This window comes from Homo sapiens, chromosome 7 (genome assembly GCF_000001405.40).
Source record: "Homo sapiens chromosome 7, GRCh38.p14 Primary Assembly".
NCBI lineage: Eukaryota > Metazoa > Chordata > Mammalia > Primates > Hominidae > Homo > Homo sapiens.
In genome coordinates, this window is record NC_000007.14 from 84,028,603 (window position 1) to 84,054,159 (window position 25,557).

The 25,557-nt window shown below is 33.5% G+C and overlaps 1 protein-coding gene across 3 annotated transcripts in view; it reads right to left on the minus strand.

Annotated features, from left to right (window-relative positions):
• The window catches only part of SEMA3A (semaphorin 3A), a 536,949-nt gene that overhangs the window by 72,826 nt on the left and 438,566 nt on the right, over window positions 1-25,557 (minus strand). For all 3 annotated transcript variants that reach the window (XM_005250110.4, XM_047419751.1, NM_006080.3), the window contains one exon: window positions 17,722-17,841. In XM_005250110.4, the coding sequence (XP_005250167.1) occupies window positions 17,722-17,841 (120 nt within the window). The remainder of the gene's footprint in view (window positions 1-17,721; window positions 17,842-25,557) is intronic.

A 25,557-nucleotide genomic window follows, 5' to 3' on the forward strand; every position in this document is an offset into this window, starting at 1 on the left:
TTAATTTATTTATTTATTTTGAGATGGAGTCTCACTCTGTTGACCAGGCTGGAGTGCAGTGGCACGATCTCGGCTGACTGAAACCTCTGCCACCTGGGTTCACGTGATTCTCCTGCCTCAGCCTCCCGAGTAGCTGGGACTACAGGCGTGTGCCACCACCCCCTGCTAATTTTTATTTTTATTTTTTTTTGTATTTTTAGTAGAGACGGGGTTTCACCATGTCAGCCAGGATGGTCTCAATCTCCTGACCTCGTGATCTGCCCGCCTCGGCCTCCCAAAGTGCTGGGATTACAGGCGTGAGCCACAGTGCCTGACCATAAGGTTTATTTTTTAAGACAATTAATTCTGTCACATTTCAACTTTGCATTTCTATATTATTGATTGACTGATTCCCATCCTGATATCTCAGAATAACTTTTCTACCATGGTGAATGAATGCCTCAAACTGAATTGCAGGAATATAGTGCTGAGCACAAAACATGTTTCAAGGAAAGTGCTGGGCATATTAACCTAATTTAGACTAAATGGATATATCAAAATTTATATAACTTTTTTTGTTATTTTACATCATGATTTGATAATTATTATCTACTAAATCGTGACCTATGCTTAAACTCTTTTATCTTGTAAGTATGTGGTGTTTTCTAATGACTGTTTAAGAGACAATTCTTCAATATTTCAATGTGGAATGACATAATTATGTGCCTTTAAAAAAGGATTTTTACAGTGCTTTTTGTCCATTGCAGATTGTGAAAGTTGCATATAATATCTTGTTATTTACAAGTTCACTACAAATAATGATTTAGAGATTTGTATTTTATAATGTTAAATATGGATTCGAAGGATTTCAATGTGTTTTGATTAATCTAGCTACTTTAACTATAATGTTTATAGGCATTTCTATAATATTTGGTTATTTATTCCTTCTTAACTGCAGGAAGCTGCCATATTTACAGATGCTTCTTTGCATTAGGTCTTCAATAAATAAATTCATATTGTAAATGTATTCATCCATCATCAACTGTCCTTTCATAATTTACATTATTATGCTTTTGAATTACATTAGGTATAAACCTAGTGTGTGATTAGATTATATGCTCTTGTCATTTGAGAATATCTGATATAATTTCATTCAGAAAATAATCTCTAGGAACAATTTTTTTATTATCTCATAAGGTTACACATTTGCACACACATCCCTTCCATATACACACACACACACACACACACACACACATTTTAGAAAGTAGTAATTTGGATATTGACTTTGATTACATTTAAAGACACGAAGACAAAACAGATGTTTTTAATGAGTTTCTATAAAATTGAAAAGATTTGAAGGAAAAGATGATCGTCTTTTTACATTGTCAACGTAAGACATGTCAATATAAAAGAAAATTAAGTGGAATATAAATAAAAACACACTTCTCTTTAAAAACAAAATTATCCTCTCAGTGTGGCTCATGTTCAAGAAGTAATTAAAACATTTTTCTACAATGCAATTAAAAATAACTTTTGAACTTGGATGAAGTAAACCAAGGCAGCAAACCTTCATATCCTACAGCTAAATAATATAGAACTTTCTATTTAGAAAGCCTTTGCTCTGTGATAGCAAGTAATTTATATGATTTTACTTAATCAATGACTTCACACTAAAACCTTCTCTTTAAAGGGAAAATTGGTAGTGATTCAAGAAACATGGTATTTCCTAACCTACCTCATTTTTAAATTAGAGCACGTTTTTCTTCCCTTTGCCAGGAAGTTCATCAAATTTTTAGACAGTATGCTTACTCTGCTTTATGAAATGAGATGAAACAAGTACATTTAAGTGTGTGTGATTTATTTTTTTAAAAGTTTCAGTGCTTCAGCAGGAGCTAAAAAAAATTGAACACACCAAAAAGATATAGTACAGGCATGATTTAAATCTCTGAGAAGAAAGAAAATATACCAATTCTTCCTTTCAACTCTTTCTGCAATCCACAGTCATATCTCACTCATTGGTTATGTTTAAAATAAGGAGTCTAGATAAGTTTAAGATGCATCTCATATACACATATATGTTTTTGAAAGAACAATTATAATAACAGATTCCTTGAATTAATAACGTATTTTTATCCATTAAGAACTTTAATTGGGATTCAACCCTTTCTTCACTATGTTAAGAACATTTTCTTCTTCTCCTAGCTAACATATTTAAATTGATCAGAAAAACAATGATTTTATCTAATTTTTAACACTGTACTTGGAAAAGCACATATTTCATTTTAAATATTAAGTTAATGAACTGAGCTAAGAAAATTCTTTAATAGGATAGATTGTATAATTTTATTTGGAATATTTGGATATTCATAAATATATTTGCTTCTAGTGTTACTTTTGGTCAAGTTTTTTTTTTTTTTTTTTTTTTTTGAGACGGAGTCTTGCTCTGTCGCCAGGCTGGAGTGCAGTGGTGCCATCTCAGCTCACTACAACCTCCGCCTCACAGATGCAAGCGATTCCCATGCCTGAGCCTCCTGAGTAGCTGGGACTACAGGTGTGTGCCACCACGCCTCGCTAGTTTTTTGTATTCTAGTAGAGACAGGGTTTCACCATATTGGCCAGGATAGTCTCGATCTCCTGACCTTGTGATCCACCTGCCTCAGCCTCCCAAATTGCTGGGATTACAGGTGTGAGCCACCGTACCTGGCCCTGTCCAGTATTTTTATTGGTGATATTACAACCTCATGTAAGTTGGATGACTTGAAAATCTTTTTCATCTTTGTCTATGCTCTAAAATGCTTCTTAAAGGTTTCATATAATTTTCTGGCCAAAAAATTCTATACATGAGTCAAAGATAAACTGATTGACAATAAACATGGTCAAAAACCAAACAAACAAAACCACTAAGCAATGGAAAAACAAAAGCAAATACGTAATAATAACTTATTGTTTTTTGTATTAAAGTGTCCTGGCTGGGTGCGGTGGCTCACGCCTGTAATCCCAGCACTTTGGGAGGCTGAGGTGGGTGGATCACCTGAGGTTGGGAGTTCGAGACTAGCCTGACCAACATGGAGAAACCCCGTCTCTACTAAAAATACAAAAAAATCAGCTGGGTGTGGTGGTGCATGCCTGTAATCTCAGCTACTCGGGAGGCTGAGGCAGGAGAATTGCTTGAACCTAGGAGGCGGAGGTTGTGGTGAGCCGAGATTGCGCCATTGCACTCCAGCCTGGGCAACAAGAGTGAAACTCCATCTCAAAAAATAAAAAATAAAAAATAAAGTGTCCTAAAATATAAGCAGATATTAAATTTATGCTTTCTTTCCTCTGAAAAATAGGTCAGAATCTACAGATAAAAACATTGGTATTTGTGAATTCCAGTAACTGTTTTATTCAAAATAAAAAAAATTGTCAAATAATCATAAAACTTACTTTGTCAAAAATTGTTGAATACATAGTCTCACAAAACATTTACACAGTGAAATAAAAAGTTAATTTTATGCAAAATGGAGGTTTGTTTTGATGGCCACCTGTTTCCTAGGGCATGCTAGGAGTTCAAGTGCTCATTAGAGGATGCATTGGCAGTGCGGCTTGTCCTCCGAGTTGCCCCTGATTAGTCCCTAGGGGTCTAGTGAAAGGGAGATATCTATAAGAATGTGGCCTGATTCTTAAAATAAAATAATGAGTTAGGGACCAGGAAAGATTTAGGTCAATTTTTATTTGACACAGACCATGGCAACTTTTTAATAACATGAATGCGATTATAGATAGAACCTAATTATACTGATTGCTACACAAGAGGAGCTTCAGCACTTCTATTATTCGATGGTCAAAAAATGTTCTCAAAAACACCAGAAATTCAGGATCTCTACAAAGAAGAATAACATGTTTAACTGCAATATAATTAGCAGTTTCTATGGCTTTTGTTCAGAAGAGACAATAATAGTTTTGATTCTTGAAAATGCCTAATTATATGAAGAAGGAAATTCAAGGCAGAAAAGCAGATAATTTATAGCATAATTTTCTAAGTAATTAGAATTCGTGCAAAACAATTCTTATCACACATTCTGTTTAATCTGAAAGATCTTATTATCCTTTAAGAAGTAAGAATTCAAATTTAACATTAACTACCATGTTTTTTGAACTTTTCTAATTGTAATATATTGAAAATAAATAATAATTATTTATTTATTTAGTATCCTATCTTGGTGAACTAAATAGTACAAAAGTTGCTATATTTACATGAATTTGAAGAGTTCTTTTTATATTGGGGAAGTGATATTTTATTTATATAAATCATATTACATAGCTATAAAGTTTAAGGTTATGACATAAAATTTAAAGTTGTAACATAAGATGTATAATTTGTGGTTTCATATTTGAGTTTTAAGTTGTTGTTTTGCACTAAAAATCTTCCTTGTTTTTCTTTACTGAGAGCTTCTGACAAAAAGATGTTTACAGGGAAAAAAATTGCAAATTACTACATATTGTAAATACTATTGGCTGTTTTATAACTATTTATTATTTAAAATACACCATTAGTCTTTGTGTGGTTCCAGTTAAAGACAGTTAATTCATAATAACCTCTTCTGAAAACAACTGTTTTAAACCACTGTACTTTGAGACTTTTCTTGAAACCCAAAAGTCACAACCTCTACTACATATTTTTAAAATTCTTAATATGTAGTTATGGAAAATTTTTAGGCTGTCATAAAGAGCATTTTTTTCTAAAAAGAAAAATTTAAAAGCAAAAATTTCTAAGAGTGCTAGCAGCTGTATTAATCTGACACTGTCTCAGTGAAATGGTTCGAGCAGTGTTAGATGGGCTTTCATTGATTGTTGCTTGAAAATCCAACATAGCTGTTCAAAGAACACACTTAGCCTATGTTCTTATCTTCCCAGCTTAAATGGAATAAGCCACTAATTTGAGATGGACAAAGAATTTAGCCCTCTTAAATTGCAAAATTTGAATTAGATCACAAATGAGCAGTAAATTGAATCTAAATAATAACACATCTGCCCTGTCATACACATTATTTTGTGCTAAAAGTAGGGATATAAAATAATCTATTCAGGTAGAAGGGAACAAAAACCACTTTTATGTCGCTTTTAATAATCAAAAGTATAATATACTTTGGTAGTTTAGTTGAGTCCTTCTCAAGTTTTAATGTGGGCTCTTGATAGGTACAGATTCTCATTCAATACAACTGGGTGGGCCCTGAGAGTCCACATTTTGAACAAGATCCCATGGATGCACATCCTTTTAGTTCAAGGGCCACACACGTAGTAGCAGGGGTCTATACAAGCTAAGATTTCAGTGATTTTACTATGTATAAATAACACAGATCTTTGGTTTGTGAACTATGGCATGATAGAATCCTTCAACTTTGGCAATTTTTTGTTTTTAATTTTTTTTTTTTTCCTAGGCAGAGTTTTACTCTGTCATCCAGGCTGGAGTTCCCTGGTGTGATCTCAGCTCACTGTCACTTTCGCTTCCCAGGTTCAACTGATTCTCCTGCCTCAGCCTCCCAAGTAGCTGGGACCATAGGCACATACCACCACACCTGGCTGATTTTCGTATTTTTAATAGAGACAGGGTCTCATCATGTTGGCTAGGCTGGTCTCGAACTACTGATCTCAAGGGATCCGCCTGCCTCGGCCTCCCGAATTACTGAGATTACAGGCATGAGCCACTGCGCCTGGCCTGGTATGGTCTTTTATCTTATCTTGGAACAGTATATATCTGACTCGACAAACATTCCTTACATGTAAATATTTTGCAAATTGCAGAAATATGCAAATTTTTAACATGATAAAATTAATTTCATAAAATTAATGGCAAAATTAATTTATTCTCAGTTATCACTAAATTTCAGTTTACAACTAACTTTTTGCAGAATACTTAATTTGATTATCTATAGTTTGGAAGTGATCTTGTAGATAGCACTTTGAAGATAATAAAATACAATACAAATACATGCTCTCTGTTGTTCATGATTATTTCAAATATTTACTTCTGTAAGACTGCCAATTTTTCAAATATTGCTTTTAATGATAAACTTTCAAATACTCAGTGTAATAACACCAATGTCACGACACCTAGGCAATTTGGTGGGTACAGTTCTAAATTGCTGCTTATGACTATAATGAAGTATTATTGGTCTTTGTTCAGTGCAGGCAGTCCATTAATCCTATTTCCTGTTTTTTTGTCTTTTTTTTCCCCTTATTTGACTGCTCATATGGAGTTGTTTGCGTAGGTACCTCATCAAGACTAATAAAGGTTTTTCTAAACTAATCTGATACTTCCAACTTTCTTTTGAATAAGCACGTTTCCTCTCATTTTATTTTATTAGCACAAAGAAACGGTTTCCACTATCTTTATAAATTAAATTTAAGTTAGGTTTACTTTCTAGTGGAACTACTATTTTCTACCTTTTCCCATAAAATAACTATCAGAAAATACCTAGAATCATTATTCCTGGACAATGCTGAGTTTTCTATAATTAGATATTAATTAGAATAAAATTATTAGACCATCTATAAGACATGTTATACATACATTTATTAGTTAAAAACAACAAAGAAAATATATTTCCCTATCTTTTGAAATAATATGCCTCCAGATCTTACTGAGACCAATGAAAATGCTTAGAGATTTTATGTAAATAGAAAGGCAATTTAAAAAATATGCCAACAAACACAATTTACACATTTACATAGTAAAAACCAAAGAAATTGGGAAATGACTATGCATTTTATTTCTTTAATCATAAAATAGGAAGGCAGTAAAATTACTGGCATGTAAAAATTCTCTAGCAAATAACATGTTAAATATTTATTGTCCATATTGTAGGAGTATTATTGTGTTTATCATTGATTAAGATGAAAAAAATTACTTAAGAAAATTATTTAGAACATGTATTTTTTAAGTTCTTATTTATTCATTCCTTTAAATAATCAAAGAAAAAATTAAAATCTTAAAGCAAAATAAAACCCCTTAACTCTGAGAAAAATGTCTGGATCAAGAACCATGATTATTCCTATTAATTAATTTATTATCATTTTTCGTGTGGCTTTTAAAGTGCAGAGACCAGCTGAAGAGACCTTATTTTACTGTGATGATAGTCCAGGGTGTCAGTTATCGAGCTTCTACTGAATAGAAAAGAATACTGTTTCTGGTTTCTCCCCACTCTCTGATTACTTCTTTCTAAACACCAATCTACTTTTCATCTCATTATTTTTTCTATGATTCCTGTTCACAATTTACTTATAGTTAGGGACATTTGTCACTGAGATAACACAATTTAAAAATCTACAATCATATAATCTAGAAATAATATACAGTTTTTCTGGTTCCAACTGATTCCCGTCCTTTTCTTCAAAACTTAAAACAATAATTTCCAATTTCTTGTTTTGAACTCTCTTCTACACACGCTTTCTAAGAGAAGACTGGGTGTATTTAGACAAAGGAAAGCTGCCTCATAAATTGTCATGTCCTGCTTTCATTTTATAGTGAAATCCCCACTCTGTAGTTGTGATACTAGATTGAGAGCCTGAAAATCAATGGAATCCAAAAATTTGTTTAATCTAAAGGGAGATGGATAGTAACTCCTCCCTTACTCTATGAGTTAAACAATGGTTTTGAGATATAAAGACATTTTGGAAATATATGAATATGATCCTATAGATGTATTAAGACTTCTAGGGTTTTTCATTAGATAAAAAGTACTATGATTTTATCCTGGAAGGCAGGGTTTTCACTTAATTTTGTTTCTTATAACAGTTCCTTGAACCTAGTGGATGCTATTTGCATTTAAAAAAATGGAAGTTGCCAGAGTACATATTGGTAGCTACCAAATGTAGTTCATACACTGTGCTATTATCAGTGATTCTGGGAGGACTTATATCAGCAGTAGGGAAATGAGAAGAGAATAACATTCTGTGTAACTGGGGTGATTTAGAAACCTAAATTTTCTACAGGTAAATAGAAACATTGTTGAATGAGAGGAGAAGAGACTAGACTTGAGAATATAAAAATACTTACTGAAAATCAAAAATTTAAAAAGAAACAAATTGATAAACAGTAACTGAAATGAATAGTTTAATCTCTGTAGAAAAATACCTAGTCTTAACTTCTCATTAATAATGTAGCTATTTTACCTCTATCATATTATATTACATAGTATCTTAATTGTTTTTACGGACAACCATATGGTCAGATATAAAATGGTAATCTGAGTATTCTTAGGAATTAATATATGTTCCAGTAACATTTTTTTAATGTTTTGAGCTTATAAAAAAGTCCTTAAGTATGTATCACCTGTAACTTGCATTATAAAATTGAGAGTTAAACCTTTGGATAGGAGACTATATGGTACAGTTTGGGGATATTTATTTCAGTTTGTTGATGTCATTGATTTTATTAAGATGATACATGTTTAATATAATCAAGTAATGACAAAAATCTCATCAGGAAATTATTATTAACCATTAGGAATTATTTTCTTTTTTCCCTTTCTTCCTTCCTCTCCTTCAACATTCTTTGCAGATTCCTTCCAAACAGCTAAGTTTTTTTTCTTTTTTTCAATTTTGTTTTCTCTTAAGGATTACCTGTTTTCCTACCCTACAGAATATGTAATAATTCCAATTAATCAATGAGAATAGCAACACCAGTTTTCCATAAATACCCTTATAAATGTATGGGAAAGCTCTCTGTGATATCAAAGCCCTGGCATCTTTTGTTTATTTGTTGTTGTTGTTGTTGTTTGAGACACGGTCTGGCTCTGTCACCTAGGCTGGAGTGCAGTGGCATGATCATGGCTCACTGCAGCCTTGACCTCCCAGGCTCAGGTGATCCTCCCATCTCAGCCTCCCAAGTAACTGGGACTACAGATGCATGCCACCATACCTGCCTAATTTTTAAATTATTTGTAGAGATTATTATTTGGATTTAAAATAATTCAGAGAAATCTGTAAACACGTTGAAAAGTTACATTTTTGATGAGTGTCTTATGCTATTAGCCTACGTTAAATCTAACAATAATTAAAATTTAGCAAATCTTCAAGCAAAGTAATAAAAACCATACTTCTAATGACAAAACTGCACCCATATTAATTTATAAAATTACTACTAGAAACAAATTATGATTTATTTTAAAAGTATAACTCTATTTTTGAATAGATTTTTAAAGTAATAATAATAACAAATATATAATGGTATACAATTTAAAATGCAAAATGTATATGATAATAAGAAAGTACCATAGGAAACTGATATACGGCTGAGAACAAGGACTTTGATATTCTCTTGTCTAATTTCTTTAGTCATGTAGTAACCCATATATTTCTACCTTGAAAATGTTTATTTTAAGGGCATCTAGATACACATCTTCTTTACCAGTATTATTGGGGAAACATTTTTAAAGACCCTTTACCTGAATAACATTTTTAGTTGATATATGAAGCTTAGAACATTTTTAATGCTTTTTTGTCATGTGTAAGTAACTTAGCAATAGGTATGTCACTAAGCTTAGAAAAATGCTTTTTCTTTTTATGGAAGCAGAGTCGATTTACTTTCATCAAAATGAGCAGACACCATTAAGCAAGAATTCCTGTATGTATAGATTCAGTCTAAGGAAAGGACATAGATCACTATCACTTCATCTGGTCTTGTTTTCCCTACGCCACTTTGATTGCTTTCCTAGAAATATGTGGCTGCACAGTTTAATGAGACTGTGCATTTTACTACATTTTTAGCAACTCAGTATATTTATGTATTTTAATTGTTCCATTCATTAAAATTCTTACACAATATTAAGACAACATCAATTGAATTTTTTTATTTTTGTAGTAGTTATTTTTCCAAATGCATTACATAAATTAATTCATATGTGATTCTCGTAACAACCAAATGAGAGAGAAACTGCAGTTATTCTCATTTGAAAAGGAGAAATTGATCACAGAGAGCTTACACTAGATCACAAAGAGATCTCTTTACAGTTGCCGAAGTCAGACAGTAGGTCTCCATGCTGTTAACAATCATCCCAAAGATTATAGTTGATGACCCCTCATGAAAAATTTAAACGTTAAACTGTGATGTAGCAGGAGAGTCATAAGTGCAGTTAATGTCTTCTTAACTAATTTATTGAAAAAAATTTAATGGAGAATTAACCTAATTGTTTATTTAAGTTTATTAAGTTATAAGTATTGTACTTACTAGAGATAAATTAACACGTACAGAAACACATTTCATTACAATTTAGCCTTGGCTATTGTTTATAATTTCATTGTTTCATCTTCTAATTTTGTAAAACACAATGTGTTTTATGATTTTAATACTGAAGCTAAAACTACTACTAGAAACATATTACATATTCCTGATGTACTAATTTCCCCACATAATGATAGTAGCTATCAATTAAAACATAATCAAATAGCTTGACAACATTTTAAGGAAGACAAGCATAAATTCCAGAGTTGTTTGTTGTATCAATTTACTAAATATGTATTGTCTACTTTGCATAGAGGTGTATATAGGTAACAGCAGCAGCAATCACAGTTAACATGAGCATTTACTATATTATCAGATACTGTTCTAATTACCCTATATACACTGTCTCATGCATTCTCAGAAAAACAGTATGAGATATTACTATTAACCCTTTCTTACAAACCATAAATGTGTGGCAAATATAAATAACTTAAATGACTCCCAAAGTCACGTAAGTAATAAATGGAGGACCTGGGATATAAACTGAGGCAGATTAACTTTAGGGCCCATGAAGAGATTCATTAGTTTCTTATTTCATATATCGTAGGGTAAGAGGCTGGATGTTAGGCCCTGTGATAACTACAAACATACATCTATCTGGTCTTGGGGTTCAAAGGTGGAAACACTTAAAATCCCATGGGCAAATGGTAAGGCTATATGAAAAAGACAGCAAATTTGAGGGCCACCAGCTCTATTTGATTTGAGTATGGTAGAGTTTAATATTGGAGAGGTCACTTAGGATTAGATGATAAAGGACTTGACAGGCAGCAGAATCTGGATTCAATTTGCTTGTAAATTGAGAGACATAAATGATTTTTGAACAGGAGAGTATTGTGATAGTAATCAGTGCTGTATTTAGGGAGAAATCTATCAGTTATATCTAAAAAATGTACATATGGCTTAAAGTGTTATGCAACTTATAAAATTAAGCATAATCAATAACTTTATTAAAATAAATTTTAATTAATAAAAAATTGCATCCAGAATTTGTGCTAAGCCTGCAGACACAATTTCTAGGTATAATTATCTAAATTGATATTTGTAAAAATAAATATGAGAAAATATATTCTCATAAGTCAACATTTCCCTCTGTCTCAGTATTCATTTTATAGGGCATCTGAGAATTATATCTTATATAATAGTAGAGTAGATATATGAACACATATTTTATCAACATGGAAAGGCAGGTTATTTTGGAACTTTAAAAAATTTAAATATTATATGACCTTTTGAGATATTGTCATTAATATCTTCCACTGTGAAAGTTCCTGAAATCTTCTATTCTGAAAGTATTTGCATCAAACCTGCATTGAATATTTCATAATATTGTAAACCCATTCCTTTCACTCAGAGTGATTAGGGTATAACAAGTGGCTTTTTTTTTTTTTTCTGGTCAAAACTCTCCATTCCATTAAAATTCAATGGCATTGCTTCCCATCATTCAGCTTGATCTGGGTAAAATCCTTTAATTCCCCAGCCCCTGCTGTTGGGGAGCTCTAGGCTCATCACACTTAACCTCTGCCTGGGCTTCTCAGAATAGAATTTGTTTCACCCCATTCATAGCTTCAATAGTTGAGCAAGCCACACGCAAGTGCACACTGGTCTTTTACCCTGAGCACACTAATCTGATTGTTTTTCCACTCTACAAACTCTGGGTCAACAATCAAGCTGCCGCCAGAAACTAATTAATTTGCAAACAGGCTTCTGTTTTCACAGAGGGAAAGCTTTTGAGAGCCATGTCAGGGAGGCCGGTCACACCATGGTTACATGCATTGTCATGGCATCCACTTCTCTTGGTAAATCTCTTGCTTGATGTCACTGCACACAGGAACCCAGATTACCCAGTCAGCAGTAAATCCCTATTGAGACCCACCAAGCTTTGAATGTAGTGACTCTAGAAGAGGAAATTGGTATAGACAGGCTGTGTATTCATTAAACTGATGGTGAGACAAGAGAGAAAAAAATGTAAAAAACAAGAGGAAAAAGGAAGCTGCCTTTGATATAAAGAATTGTCCAATATATTGTCTCATTTTTTGATCAACTTTCATTTAAAAAGCAGGATTACCTTGAGAAAATATAATAATACTTCTAAATCTTAGATTCCTACTCTCATCAACTGTTAATTTCAAAGTAAGAAATTCAAAATTTTCTGCCTATATGCCACATCTGAGAGTTGTATGTTTTAGCCCAACATTAAAAAAATTCAAATGGAAAATGTGAACAATTTTATTCAGGTCACTTTTCTTAGAAGCCCGGAAAAAATAAAACCAGTTTTCAAATATATTGCCATTAATGAGTTAATTTTTATTCCAAAGCTTTATTCATATTTCCTTATTAGTAATTTCAAAAAACTTGCTAAAAGTCTTTATGTTCCTTAGACAAAAAGTGACAGAGAAAGTATGTCCTTGATAAAGGATATCAAGTGATGGTATATTTTGGTAACTTTTAGTTCTTTATGAAAAAAAGATGTATTTAGTGATTTGATTAAATGTATTATTATTTAGAGAGTAGAATAATTTCATGGTGTATATTTATTGTTTAAAAAGATACATTTATAATGGCTGTGCATTATTTGTTGGGACGAAAATGTTTCTGAGTAATAGATTCTTGAGGAAACAAAACTACTAAGTTGTGTTTAGGTATAGACATAACTATTATTCTAAAGTTTGCATATTTGAATTTTCAGCATAATTTCAAGAAAATACCTTAAGTATTCTCATTTTATTTCTGTGACTTTATACATTGATACTCCAGAATTGCTAGCTAATGCATACACTACTTACTCATAGAATACATAATTCAAACGTTTTAAAATACTGCATTCTTGTTTTCTTCTTTCATTGACTATAAAAACTAAGAGGACCTTTGTTGTTGCTGTTGTTTTAACTGAATGATCACTCAGCTTCTCTAACACTCATCTGCTCAAATAACCATAAAACAGGCTTATAGAGGGCTTTTTCCCCAAAGGTCAGCAAAATACTATAACTTGCTTAAGCCAAAGAAATAATCAAAAATGACATCATCGTTAAGTCTGACTTTATGCAAAACTAGATGATCTGTTTTAGTTATTAAAGAAAATGCAATTGGATACTCTGACGTTTTTTATGTCTCCAAAGATAGTAAGATCGAAATAGTGTATTAAAAGAGCTGTACAAGTGTACAAGTGATTTGAGATTGGGTATCTGGTAACGTGTAATGTTAACTTGCGTATTCATAGTTTATTTGCAGTCATATGTTTCATCACTGGGTCTAGTTTTCTAAAAGCGCATGTTGTGGAGAAATTTGAATCTTAAGAGAGTACGAAATATCCTAGTACATGACCACAGAGGAAGCTACGCTGATTCCAATAAGGGCAGGCCATCAGGGTATGAATATTACAAGTGAGAGGAAGTGAAGTGATGACTTGCATACCATTTCAATTACAGAAAAAGAGCAAGTGAGTTAGTCTATCTACAGGCACGATCCTTTTAGGAAATTCCACTAAAAGAAAACAGGTCTTCCTGAAATGAGTGGGAAGGCGTCACACTCCAGGCATTGTAATTAGGTCTGTTTGTGTTCCCCAGGCCTTGGGATCCATGTGGTTTCATATATTAAACCCGACTCTGGCTGCCCTTTCACCCTGACTCAAATATAATCACTCACAGAGTGAGTCAGGCCAAGCTTCCTAAGCGTGCTCCACCCAACAGAAGTGGGATAAAGGATACTCAGATAATTAGCATTTATTAAGTGCTTACTACATACCAAGAACTTGCTCAGTGTTTTTTATACATTAATATGTGGTCGTTTTTCCACAACAACTATAGGAGATAGGTAGTACCTCTGTTCATTTTATTAATGTAAGGGCCAAAGTAAAGTGAAACCCTGCCTCATTCTAAAGATAGTCTTTCTTCCAAATCATGTATCATCCCACTATTACTCCAAGACATAAACAATATTGGAAAACAGTCTCCATCAAATAAGAAAAATAAATGTGAGCTAGAAAAATAAACTGCTCTAATGAATGGTTAATATGGACAATAACTAGGTAGTAGTATTTTCATACTAAATGTTAAGATATCATTATGATAACAGCAGCATAAACTTATTTGTTTCCTTACTATAAATATACACAGAACAATTTTACTTTATTTCCACATTAAGCTGAAATTGGAATTGAAATTTGAAATCATATAATACTGAGAGAATTTATGTAGTACAAGAAAAAAATACTGGTACATCATGCCAAACCCCTAGCAGTATATTTTCTGAAATAAAACATTGTTATAACATTTAGAAACCCTAAATTAGGGTTTATCGTAACTAATGAAGATGTTTTAAGAACGTTATTACATGTTAAAATGTAAAATACACAACAGACTCCATTGTCTGAAGTTTCTTAATCTGAAAGTGTTATTCATTCCTAAATTTTCCTGCTAAAACTGAATTTAAACATTTATTGGCATTATCATATAAATTTTCTAATTATGAAAGTAGTGAAACTCCATTTTAAAAAATCAAGATATTTCAAGTTACAATTTTAGAGAACTGTTTGGTTGTTTGCTTTTCCTTACCAGGAACAAAAATTAAAAGTCATCTAAAATAGGTGAACTGATTCTTCCAAAAGAGTTGAACTGATTTGAGAAAAATAAAGTCCTATGCTGAAATTAATTTTAATATTCCTGAAGACCTTTAAAAACTACTTTGCAAAGCAATGTGTTAATTCTGGAACACGTATGATTGTATAGTCTATGCTGATGCCTCAAAACTCATTTATTTTATGCATGAATGTGTAAACATTGTTTTCAATTTTATTCTGTAATGGTATTTAATTTCACAAGGCTTGTGATTCAGAGTCCCTTGGTTCTATCCCAAACATATCTGTATCTTCCATCTTGCAGCAGTTCTGTTTTTTGCACCCTGTCAGATGTAACCTTTGTGCTAATTTGGAAAAATCAGTTCTCACGTTTAGTGCTGAGAGACTGATAACTGAATTCTCAAATGAACTACACATTTTCAGAGATGAAGTACAGAGCTGTGGACAATGCCTGTGTTTTCCCACAGTGTAAATTCTTCAGACTCAGCTGTCAACATGTGAGTGTGCAGCATAAAAGCAGCTTTAACTTGATGGGTTTTTTTCTCCAAGGCCATAAAAATGAAATGGATACTATACTCTCCTTTATGTTATTCCATCTTCTAATGAGATTTTGTTTCTCATGGACAGAGAAAGCCTTTATGCCCTTTAGGGTACTTAGTAGATCAAAGTCTTCTTTCTAAATAGAAAAACAAACATTTTCCCTCCCACACAAATATTTCAGTTTGAGAACAAACCAGATAGAAATGTTAAGAGAGTTTTTTTTTCCTACTAATTTTGCCTCTGCACACATCCTAGGTCTAATAATTTATATTGGATATTCTAGAATATTCCCCTGGGTTTTTGGAGTTCTGCACATGCTCTTCTCTTCATCTCAGCACCTTTTCATTTCCCTGGTGAGGCATCACATTTCTCACATGGTCACCCAGGTACCATGAGACCCCGTCTATCCCTGGTGGCAGAGGAACATTTGACTACATGTCTAATCCCCTTTGATTACCACAGTGTTTGTATGCAATCATCAATTATGTTAGGCATCATTAGCATTTTAAAGAATAAAGAAGTTATGCCAAATTTAGAGAAAACTTGGGAGAGCAAGAAATAAGGGAAGCTAAGAGAAGAGATTGAAAAAGAATGGGCTAGTTAATGATAAATACTGCAAGAGACATTGTCAAAGTAGAGATTAATAAAAAGTAATAGAAAATCATTAGTGTCCTTTGGAGGAATAATTTCATGGAAGTAATTATTGGATGAATGCCAGGTTTAAAGTAAAGGTAGTGAAACATTGAGGAAACAAGTCCTAACCAGGCTATGAACTTAGATATATTGGGACTTTGTGGCATACCATGAGAGAACAGTTTTGCATGGGATAAGTAAGATTTCAGCTTGGGGGAAGAAATCAGTGCTGAAAAAGAGATAAAGATAGCAAAGGAAATGTAAATTGGCTAAATTAACCAAAGAACATCAATGCCATTAAAAGCCAAGGCTGAAGGGTCAAACGTGGAGGCAGGGAGCATGCCTTTGTCACTACCACATGGAAAATTATAGGACATTCAGAAATGCTGTCATAGGAGGGAAGAGATGCTGATTGAGGTAATTTGAGGTATGTTTTATGTTTTGAGTAGTCACTTTGAAGTATAGGATCGATCAGAACAAAGGTTGTCACACAACTCATGGTCTCCTGGAATTTCAATGAGGTCTATAGGTAGACCTGTGATTTTTCTCTAATAACTAATGGAAGACAGAAGGAATGAACTAAATTTTGGGGTTCCTGGAATAAGGCAGGAAAACTAAGTGTGGCAGAAGTTCATAGAATGAGATATTCAGGCATCTTACTGAGAACATGACTATAAACCATAAGCCTCTTTCTTATTAATGAATTATGTAAAACCAGGAAAAATTTCATGCTTCATTCTTATGAACGAGTTATATACAAGCAGGAAAAAATTCATGGAGGGATAATTGGAGATTGGGTGGCTTTATTTTTTAAGATTGAAGGTAGGTATAAATATAGATAATTAAGTAATGATAAAAACAACCATGATTAATATAGTAGGGACCTTTATAAAAATTTTTGGTAAATGTGTAAATAACTAAAAAAAAAAGAACTCTAGGTAGAAGGATATAAAAGGATTGCTTAGTTAAAATTTTGAATAAGAGTAGTATTTATTTATTTTAGGTATATACATTTTGTGCATTTTCTGCTATGCCAAAATTATTTTCTATACTAAAAAGAAAAGAGAGTAATAGTAATAAATAATAATAAGCATCTACTTGATCAAGTAGTTAAGCCAGTGCCTGAAGTTCAGAAAACTGGGTTTCTGTTCTAAACAATCTTCTACTAGATTAGATAATAATCCTAACCTATAAATTGGGAGAGGGGTTTTAAGATGATTAAGATTAAATGTGAATCAAATGAAATCATGATTTAAAAGACATTTGAAATTTTGAAAAGACTATTAATATGTTATTCACACTGCAATAACATTCAATTTTTGACATTCACTAGTATATAAGATGACGTTTTCAAGGAAACAATAAGAGATGTAAAGGAAAAAAAAAAACTACACTGTAAGATTTGTTGTGGTGTCCCCATAAGACAGAATTGGTAAGTCATCTTATCTTTTTCCATTTCCTCCCTTCCGTAGCTCCGGTCCAGATCTTTCTTTCCATAGCTAACTACTGAGAAACTTCAACTTTGGCACTAAATGAATCTTTCCTGAATATTTAATCTCTCTTTTCTTTCTTTGCCGAACTTTCTCACACCCACCATCATGAAGTCACCACCATTAGCTTAACTGCACAATAAATTTCAAGTCATATTGCATGTACTGTAAAAGAGTTCTCTAGTAACTTAATACAGTTACACATGTTACATGTCTATGTTCTTTCATAAACCACCTACCATTGAGCCACCTGGAATCATGCTGCTCTGTCCTGATTGGGTGGTGGTGCCCAAGAGTTCGGAAGATAGCAAAGTCTCGCCCCATAAAATCAGCTGCAGTTCCAGAGTATAATTCTCCATCTGTGTTGTGACAAAACCACATACACATTCTTTAATTCAATTAAGGCAAAAACAAAACAAAACAAAACAAACAAAATGCAAGTTTCATGTTATGACCATGCTAAGAGGAAAACTGAAATGCTCTCTGCATCATTATGCAGTTACTTATTTTTTATCCTTATTGAAGGATATGTCCTTATTGAAGGAAGTATTTTATCAAATACTTATTCACTGATTTAGTGTATGACTACTTATCTAGTACTTAGAAAATCTGAATAAAGTCTGATTCAGTGAATCTTGCTAAAACATAAAATTTTATTATTTTCTACTATGACCACTGACAAACTCACAAAATGGAAACTACATTTATCATATCACTTGCTTTCATATGTGTAAAGTTACTATGGTTCTAATATCCTTATAACGTAGGGTAAGGTATCATTATAAAATCTTATTCATAGCTTTTATTCTAATGGCAATTAAATCTTTTATACACTTCTTTCTCAGTAGGATCTGAATTAATGAGATTTTGCTATGATTTAGAAATAACTAATATTTTTCTTGCCAGAATTTTTTTCTTGCTTTTTATTTTTTAATATATCTAGTGGGAGAAGTGTTTTTATTTGTTATAAGCTATCAACCAGTCCAAAAATAAGTCAACCACATGGCCTCATATATAGCAGAAATGTGTTTTAAGAGGAAGGAATTTTGACAAACCCAGATCATAATCACTCCAATGCAAGATTCCATCACTTTTTGACTCATTGCTACTTAAATTGAATTAACTCTAGGTCAGAGTTTAATAATGGAGGAATCATATCCAGACGGTAAAGAATAGAAGGGAAAAGACAAGAAGGGGGTAAAAGAGAAGTTAATATTTACTGAATTTCACTCTGTGTTTGTCAGCCAGTCGGCACTGGCTTGACACTTTCAAGTTATCTCATTTAGTTCTATTAACAATCTCATAATGTAAATAATGTTATCCTTATTTTACAGTTCAAGAAATTCAAGGTTGCTCAGCTAATGGCAACTCAAGGTGAAGGTTCAAACTCAGGTCTGTTTAATCCCAAGCCTTTTACACTAAACCATACCACCTTTCAACAAACTAAAGTTTGTAAAAATTACTCTTTCTTTCTTGGAAACAGAAAGGACCTTGTATTATCTCTTCCAGAAAACATGTAATTGCCTTTCTACATACAGTGAGTTATTTGAAAACAAAACAACAAAGGTTATACATTTTCCTTCAAATAATCCATGACAACTACAGTATATCTTAATATTATCTTGTTGATCGAATAGGTTAATGTTTATTTGTTGATTTGGAAAATATGCAGATAATAAAGAGGGCAAAGATAAATTATAACAAGCATTTGTGTAACATTACCATATGTTCACGTACCTAATTCTTACTTGCAAATAAGGGCTTTGCAATGTAAAATTTATATTCATAGTGGCCCACACCAAAGCAATTCCTTTGGTAGAACCTTTGTCTCGCTTATATGTCTGAATAGACTTGACTATGGAGACCCTCCAGAACAGTGGAGAAAAGCGACACAGAGAAAATCACTGAGCAACATAAACATGTTATTACTCTAAACATCCATAGATATGAATCTTATCTTGAAAACTGAGTTTAAAAATTTGATCTTTCATTTTGGATTGTTGTGATTCAAGATAAATAAAAAAGATGCTTAGATAATATGTTGAGTATAAATTATTAGTAAGTGAATTGTTCTTGTATGTCATCCTAAATTGTCACAGCATGGTGTCTTTGGGATTCAAAAGCACTTTATACATTCTTCACTTACTTAAATATCAAGTGTAAATCTGAATTGCTCTCACTAAAATATGCCTTTATTTTTAGAAATAGCCCTTTTCTGAAAATGCAAAAATGTTATGATAACCTATGTATAAATTTCAAAGCCACTTTGAAATACATAAATGCCTATTGTCTCCTTAATATTAACCAATATTCAAGCACCATGACATTTTTATTAAGGGTAATATCTAATTTTTTCCCAAAATATTAGCAAATAGATGATGTATTTTTAAACATCAGGTGAAGAGTTTGTTATTGGTCTGAGTGAATAAGAGGGTCTCAGTTAAAAGTGCATTGTCAAAACATCATGCAAATTTCAAACATTTTCATGATGGAACACCTGTGAGAAGATACCTTGTGTCTTCTTTCCTTAAAAAAATCGAAAAAATTAAATTACTGGTTGAACCTCTTTGCCTCTAAACCACAGTTAAAAACTAAAAATAGAATAATTTAAAAAATGAAAACTGAAAAATTTAATATCAGGATTTAGTCAGACCATGTCAACAGGAGGTTTAATAGGAAATATTAGAGTAAATAATGTAATTAATCAATCATTCTTATCATTTAGCTTTCTTTAGGGTAAGAAAATCCATAATTATGATGTTTATTATATTTAAAGTCTATTCAAGAGGCAGCTGAAATAGTAAAATCAACAACTAAAAACTATTACTTGGATAGAAAAGGTGTTTGTCTCTCTCTTGCATTTGGTTGTTTTATAACATTTTTTATCCAACCTCATATTAGACAGACAAAAATCAATGCAAATTAATGTAAAGGCAGAAATAATATTTTATTTCTCTTTTCACAAAAGGTAAGAAGGTCCTTCAGAGAAAGTAGAACAGGTATTCAGTAAAAGAGCTACTCCATTTATGACTAAAGGAGAATTAAACATGTGACTTATAAACCAAAATAAGTATGCAGTTTAGGCACCAGTTGCCTCCAGCTATAGGAAATTACCTCCCACATGAATATTATTTTTGGCAAGAGTTAGATGATTTTATTGAACTGGAGGGTACCAGATGATTAAGTGGCCATGAAGGGCACATTCCCATCTTGTCCATACTCAATGTCAGTAAACTATTTAGTTGCACTGGGCCTTAGATCAGATTTCCTGGTGAGGGTTCTATGGGGAGTCTTATCAATGATGATTGCTCTAGATAAGGTATGACATCTTTGTTGTTTTGCCCAAAAACACAAGCAGTAGTATATTCTACCTTCTCTTATTTCTCATTAAGTAGAAATGTAATATCAACCCAGAGTATATGCCATTTAATAAACTTGAACATTTACATTCTGTGGCTTTGTGAAATAAACTAAAGATATCTGACTATAAGAAATTTACAGTACCTCAGTTGGCTTATTTTGGAGAATAGATATATTTTTTAAAAATGCCTGTTCAGCAAACTTCTTTTGTGGTTTCTAGGCCACTAATGAAGTTATCAAATTATATGTTGATTCTTTTTTTTTTCATTTTTTAAAATTATTATTATACTTTAAGTTTTAGGGTACATGTGCACAATGTGCAGGTTAGTTACATATGTATACATGTGCCATGCTGGTGTGCTGCACCCACTAACTCATCATCTAGCATTAGGTATATCTCCCAATGCTATCCCTCCCCCCTCCCCCCACCCCACCACAGTCCCCAGAGTGTGATGTTCCCCTTCATGTGTCCATGTGATCTCATTGTTCAATTCCCACCTATGAGTGAGAATATGCGGTGTTTGGTTTTTTGTTCTTGCGATAGTTTACTGAGAATGATGTTTTCCAGTTTCATCCATGTCCCTACAAAGGACATGAACTCATCATTTTTTATGGCTGCATAGTATTCCATGGTGTATATGTGCCACATTTTCTTAATCCAGTCTATCATTGTTGGACATTTGGGTTGGTTCCAAGTCTTTGTTATTGTGAATAATGCCGCAATAAACATACGTGTGCATGTGTCTTTATAGCAGCATGATTTATTGTCCTTTGGGTATATGCCCAGTAATGGGATGGCTGGGTCAAATGGTATTTCTAGATCTCTGAAGAATTGCCACACTGACTTCCACAATGGTTGAACTAGTTTACAGTCCCACCAACGGTGTAAAAGTGTTCCTATTTCTCCACATGCTCTCCAGCACCTGTTGTTTCCTGACTTTTTAATGATTGCCATTCTAACTGGTGTGAGATGGTATCTCATTGTGATTTTGCTTTGCATTTCTCTGATGGCCAGTGATGGTGAGCATTTTTTCATGTGTTTTTTGGCTGCATAAATGTCTTCTTTTGAGAAGTGTCTGTTCATGTCCTTCACCCACTTTTTGATGGGGTTGTATGTTTTTTTCTTGTAAATTTGTTTGAGTTCATTGTAGATTCTGGATATTAGCCCTTTGTCAGATGAGTAGGTTGCGAAAATTTTCTCCCATTTTGTAGGTTGCCTGTTCACTCTGATGGTAGTTTCTTATGCTGTGCAGAAGCTCTTTAGTTTAATTAGATCCCATTTGTTGATTTTGGCTTTTGTTGCCATGGCTTTTGGTGTTTTAGACATGAAGTCCTTGCCCATGCTTATGTCCTGAATGGTAATGCCTAGGTTTTCTTCTAGGGTTTTTATGGTTTTAGGTCAAACGTTTAAGTCTTTAATCCATCTTGAATTGATTTTTGTATAAGGTGTAAGGAAGGGATCCAGTTTCAGTTTTCTACATATGGCTAGCCAGTTTTCCCAGCACCATTTATTAAATAGGGAATCCTTTCCCCATTGCTTGTTTTTCTCAGGTTTGTCAAAGATCAGATAGTTGTAGATATGTGGCATTATTTCGGAGGGCTCTGTTCTGTTCCATTGATCTATATCTCTGTTTTGGTACCAGTACCATGCTGTTTTGGTTACTGTAGCCTTGTAGTATAGTTTGAAGTCAGGTAGTGTGATGCCTCCAGCTTTGTTCTTTTGGCTTAGGATTGACTTTGCAATGCGGGCTCTTTTTTGGTTCCATATGAACTTTAAAGTAGTTTTTTCCAATTCTGTGAAGAAAGTGATTGGTAGCTTGATGGGGATGGCATTGAATCTATAAATTACCTTGGGCAGTATGGCCATTTTCACGATATTGATTCTTCCTACCCATGAGCATGGAATGTTCTTCCTTTTGTTTGTATCCTCTTTTATTTCCTTGAGCAGTGATTTGTACTTCTCCTTAAAGAGGTCCTTCACATCCCTTGTAAGTTGGATTCCTAGGTATTTTATTCTCTTTGAAGCAATTGTGAATGGGAGTTCACTCATGATTTGGCTCTCTGTTTGTCTGTTGATGGTGTATAAGAATGCTTGTGATTTCTGTACATTGATTTTGTATCCTGAGACTTTGCTGAAGTTGCTTATCAGCTTAAGGAGATTTTGGGCTGAGACAATGGGGTTTTCTAGATATACGATCATGTCGTCTGCAAACAGGGACAATTTGACTTCCTCTTTTCCTAATTGAATACCCTTTATTTCTTTCTCCTGCCTAATTGCCCTGGCCAGAACTTCCAACACTATGTTGAATAGGAGTGGTGAGAGAGGGCATCCCTGTATTGTGCCAGTCTTCAAAGGGAATGCTTCCAGTTTTTGCACATTCAGTATGATATTGGCTGTGGGTTTGTCATAGATAGCTCTTATTATTTTGAAATACGTCCCATCAATACCTAATTTATTGAGAGTTTTTAGCATGAAGGGTTGTTGAATTTTGTCAAAGGCCTTTTCTGCATCTATTGAGATAATCATGTGGTTTTTGTCTTTGGTTCTGTTTATATGCTGGATTACATTTATTGATTTGCGTATATTGAACCAGCCTTGCATCCCAGGGATGAAGCCCACTTGATCATGGCGGATAAGCTTTTTGATGTGCTACTGGATTCGGTTTGCCAGTATTTTATTGAGGATTTTTGCATCAATGTTCATCAAGGATATTGGTCTAAAATTCTCTTTTTTGGTTGTGTCTCTGCCTGGCTTTGGTATCAGGATGATGCTGGCCTCATAAAATGAGTTAGGGAGGATTCCCTCTTTTTCTATTGATTGGAATAGTTTCAGAAGGAACGCTACCAGTTCCTCCTTGTACCTCTGGTACAATTCGGCTGTGAATCCATCTAGTCCTGCACTCTTTTTGGTTGGTAAGCTATTGATTATTGCCACAATTTCAGATCCTGTTATTGGTCTATTCAGAGATTCAGCTTCTTCCTGGTTTAGTCTTGGGAGAGTGTATGTGTCGAGGAATTTATCCATTTCTTCTGGATTTTCTAGTTTATTTGTGTAGAGGTGTTTGTAGTATTCTCTGATGGTAGTTTGTATTTATGTGGGATCGGTGGTGATATCCCCTTTGTCATTTTTTATTGTGTCTATTTGATTCTTCTCTCTTTTTTTCTTTATTAGTCTTGCTAGCGGCCTATCAATTTTGTTGATCCTTTCAAAAAACCAGCTCCTGGATTCATTAATTTTTGGAAGGGTTTTTTTGTGTCTCTATTTCCTTCAGTTCTGCTCTGATTTTAGTTATTTCTTGCCTTCTGCTAGCTTTTGAATGTGTTTGCTCTTGCTTTTCTAGTTCTTTTAGTTGTGATGTTAGGGTGTCAATTTTGGATCTTTCCTGCTTTCTCTTGTGGGCATTTAGTGCTATAAATTTCCCTCTACACATCACTTTGAATGCGTCCCAGAGATTCTGGTATGTTGTGTCTTTGTTCTCGTTGGTTTCAAAGAACATCTTTATTTCTGCCTTCATTTCGTTATGTACCCAGTAGTCATTCAGGAGCAGGTTGTCCAGTTTCCATGTAGTTGAGCGGTTTTGAGTGAGATTCTTAATCCTGAGTTCTAGTTTGATTGCACTGTGGTCTGAGAGATAGTTTGTTATAATTTCTGTTCTTTTACATTTGCTGAGGAGAGCTTTACTTCCAACTATGTGGTCAATTTTGGAATAGATGTGGTGTGGTGCCGAAAAAATGTATATTCTGTTGATTTGGGGTGGAGAGTTCTGTAGATGTCTATTAGGTACGCTTGGCGCAGAGCTGAGTTCAATTCCTGGGTATCCTTGTTGACTTTCTGTCTCGTTGATCTGTCTAATGTTGACAGTGGGGTGTTGAAGTCTCCCATTATTAATGTGTGGGAGTCTAAGTCTCTTTGTAGGTCACTCAGGACTTGCTTTATGAATCTGGGTGCTCCTGTATTGGGTGCATATATATTTAGGATAGTTAGCTCTTCTTGTTGAATTGATCCCTTTACCATTATGTAATGGCCTTCTTTGTCTCTTTTGATCTTTGTTGGTTTAAAGTCTGTTTTATCAGAGACTAGGATGGCAACCCCTGCCTTTTTTTGTTTTCCATTTGCTTGGTAGATCTTCCTCCATCCTTTTATTTTGAGCCTATGTGTGTCTCTGCACGTGAGATGGGTTTCCTGAATACAGCACACTGATGGGTCTTAACTCTTTATCCAATTTGCCAGTCTGTGTCTTTTAATTGGAGCATTTAGTCCATTTACATTTAAAGTTAATATTGTTATGTGTGAATTTGATCCTGTCATTATGATGTTAGCTGGTTATTTTGCTCGTTAATTGATGGAGTTTCTTCCTAGTCTCAATGGTCTTTACATTTTGGCATGATTTTGCAGTGGCTGGTACCGGTTGTTCCTTTCCATGTTTAGCGCTTCCTTCAGGAGCTCTTTTAGGGCAGGCCTGGTGGTGACAAAATCTCTCAGCATTTGCTTGTCTGTAAAGTATTTTATTTCTCCTTCACTTATGAAGCTTAGTTTGGATGGATATGAAATTCTGGGTTGAAAATTCTTTTCTTTAAGAATGTTGAATATTGGCCCCCACTCTCTTCTGGCTTGTAGGGTTTCTGCTGAGAGATCCGCTGTTAGTCTGATGGGCTTCCCTTTGAGGGTAACCCGACCTTTCTCTCTGGCTGCCCTTAATATTTTTTCCTTCATT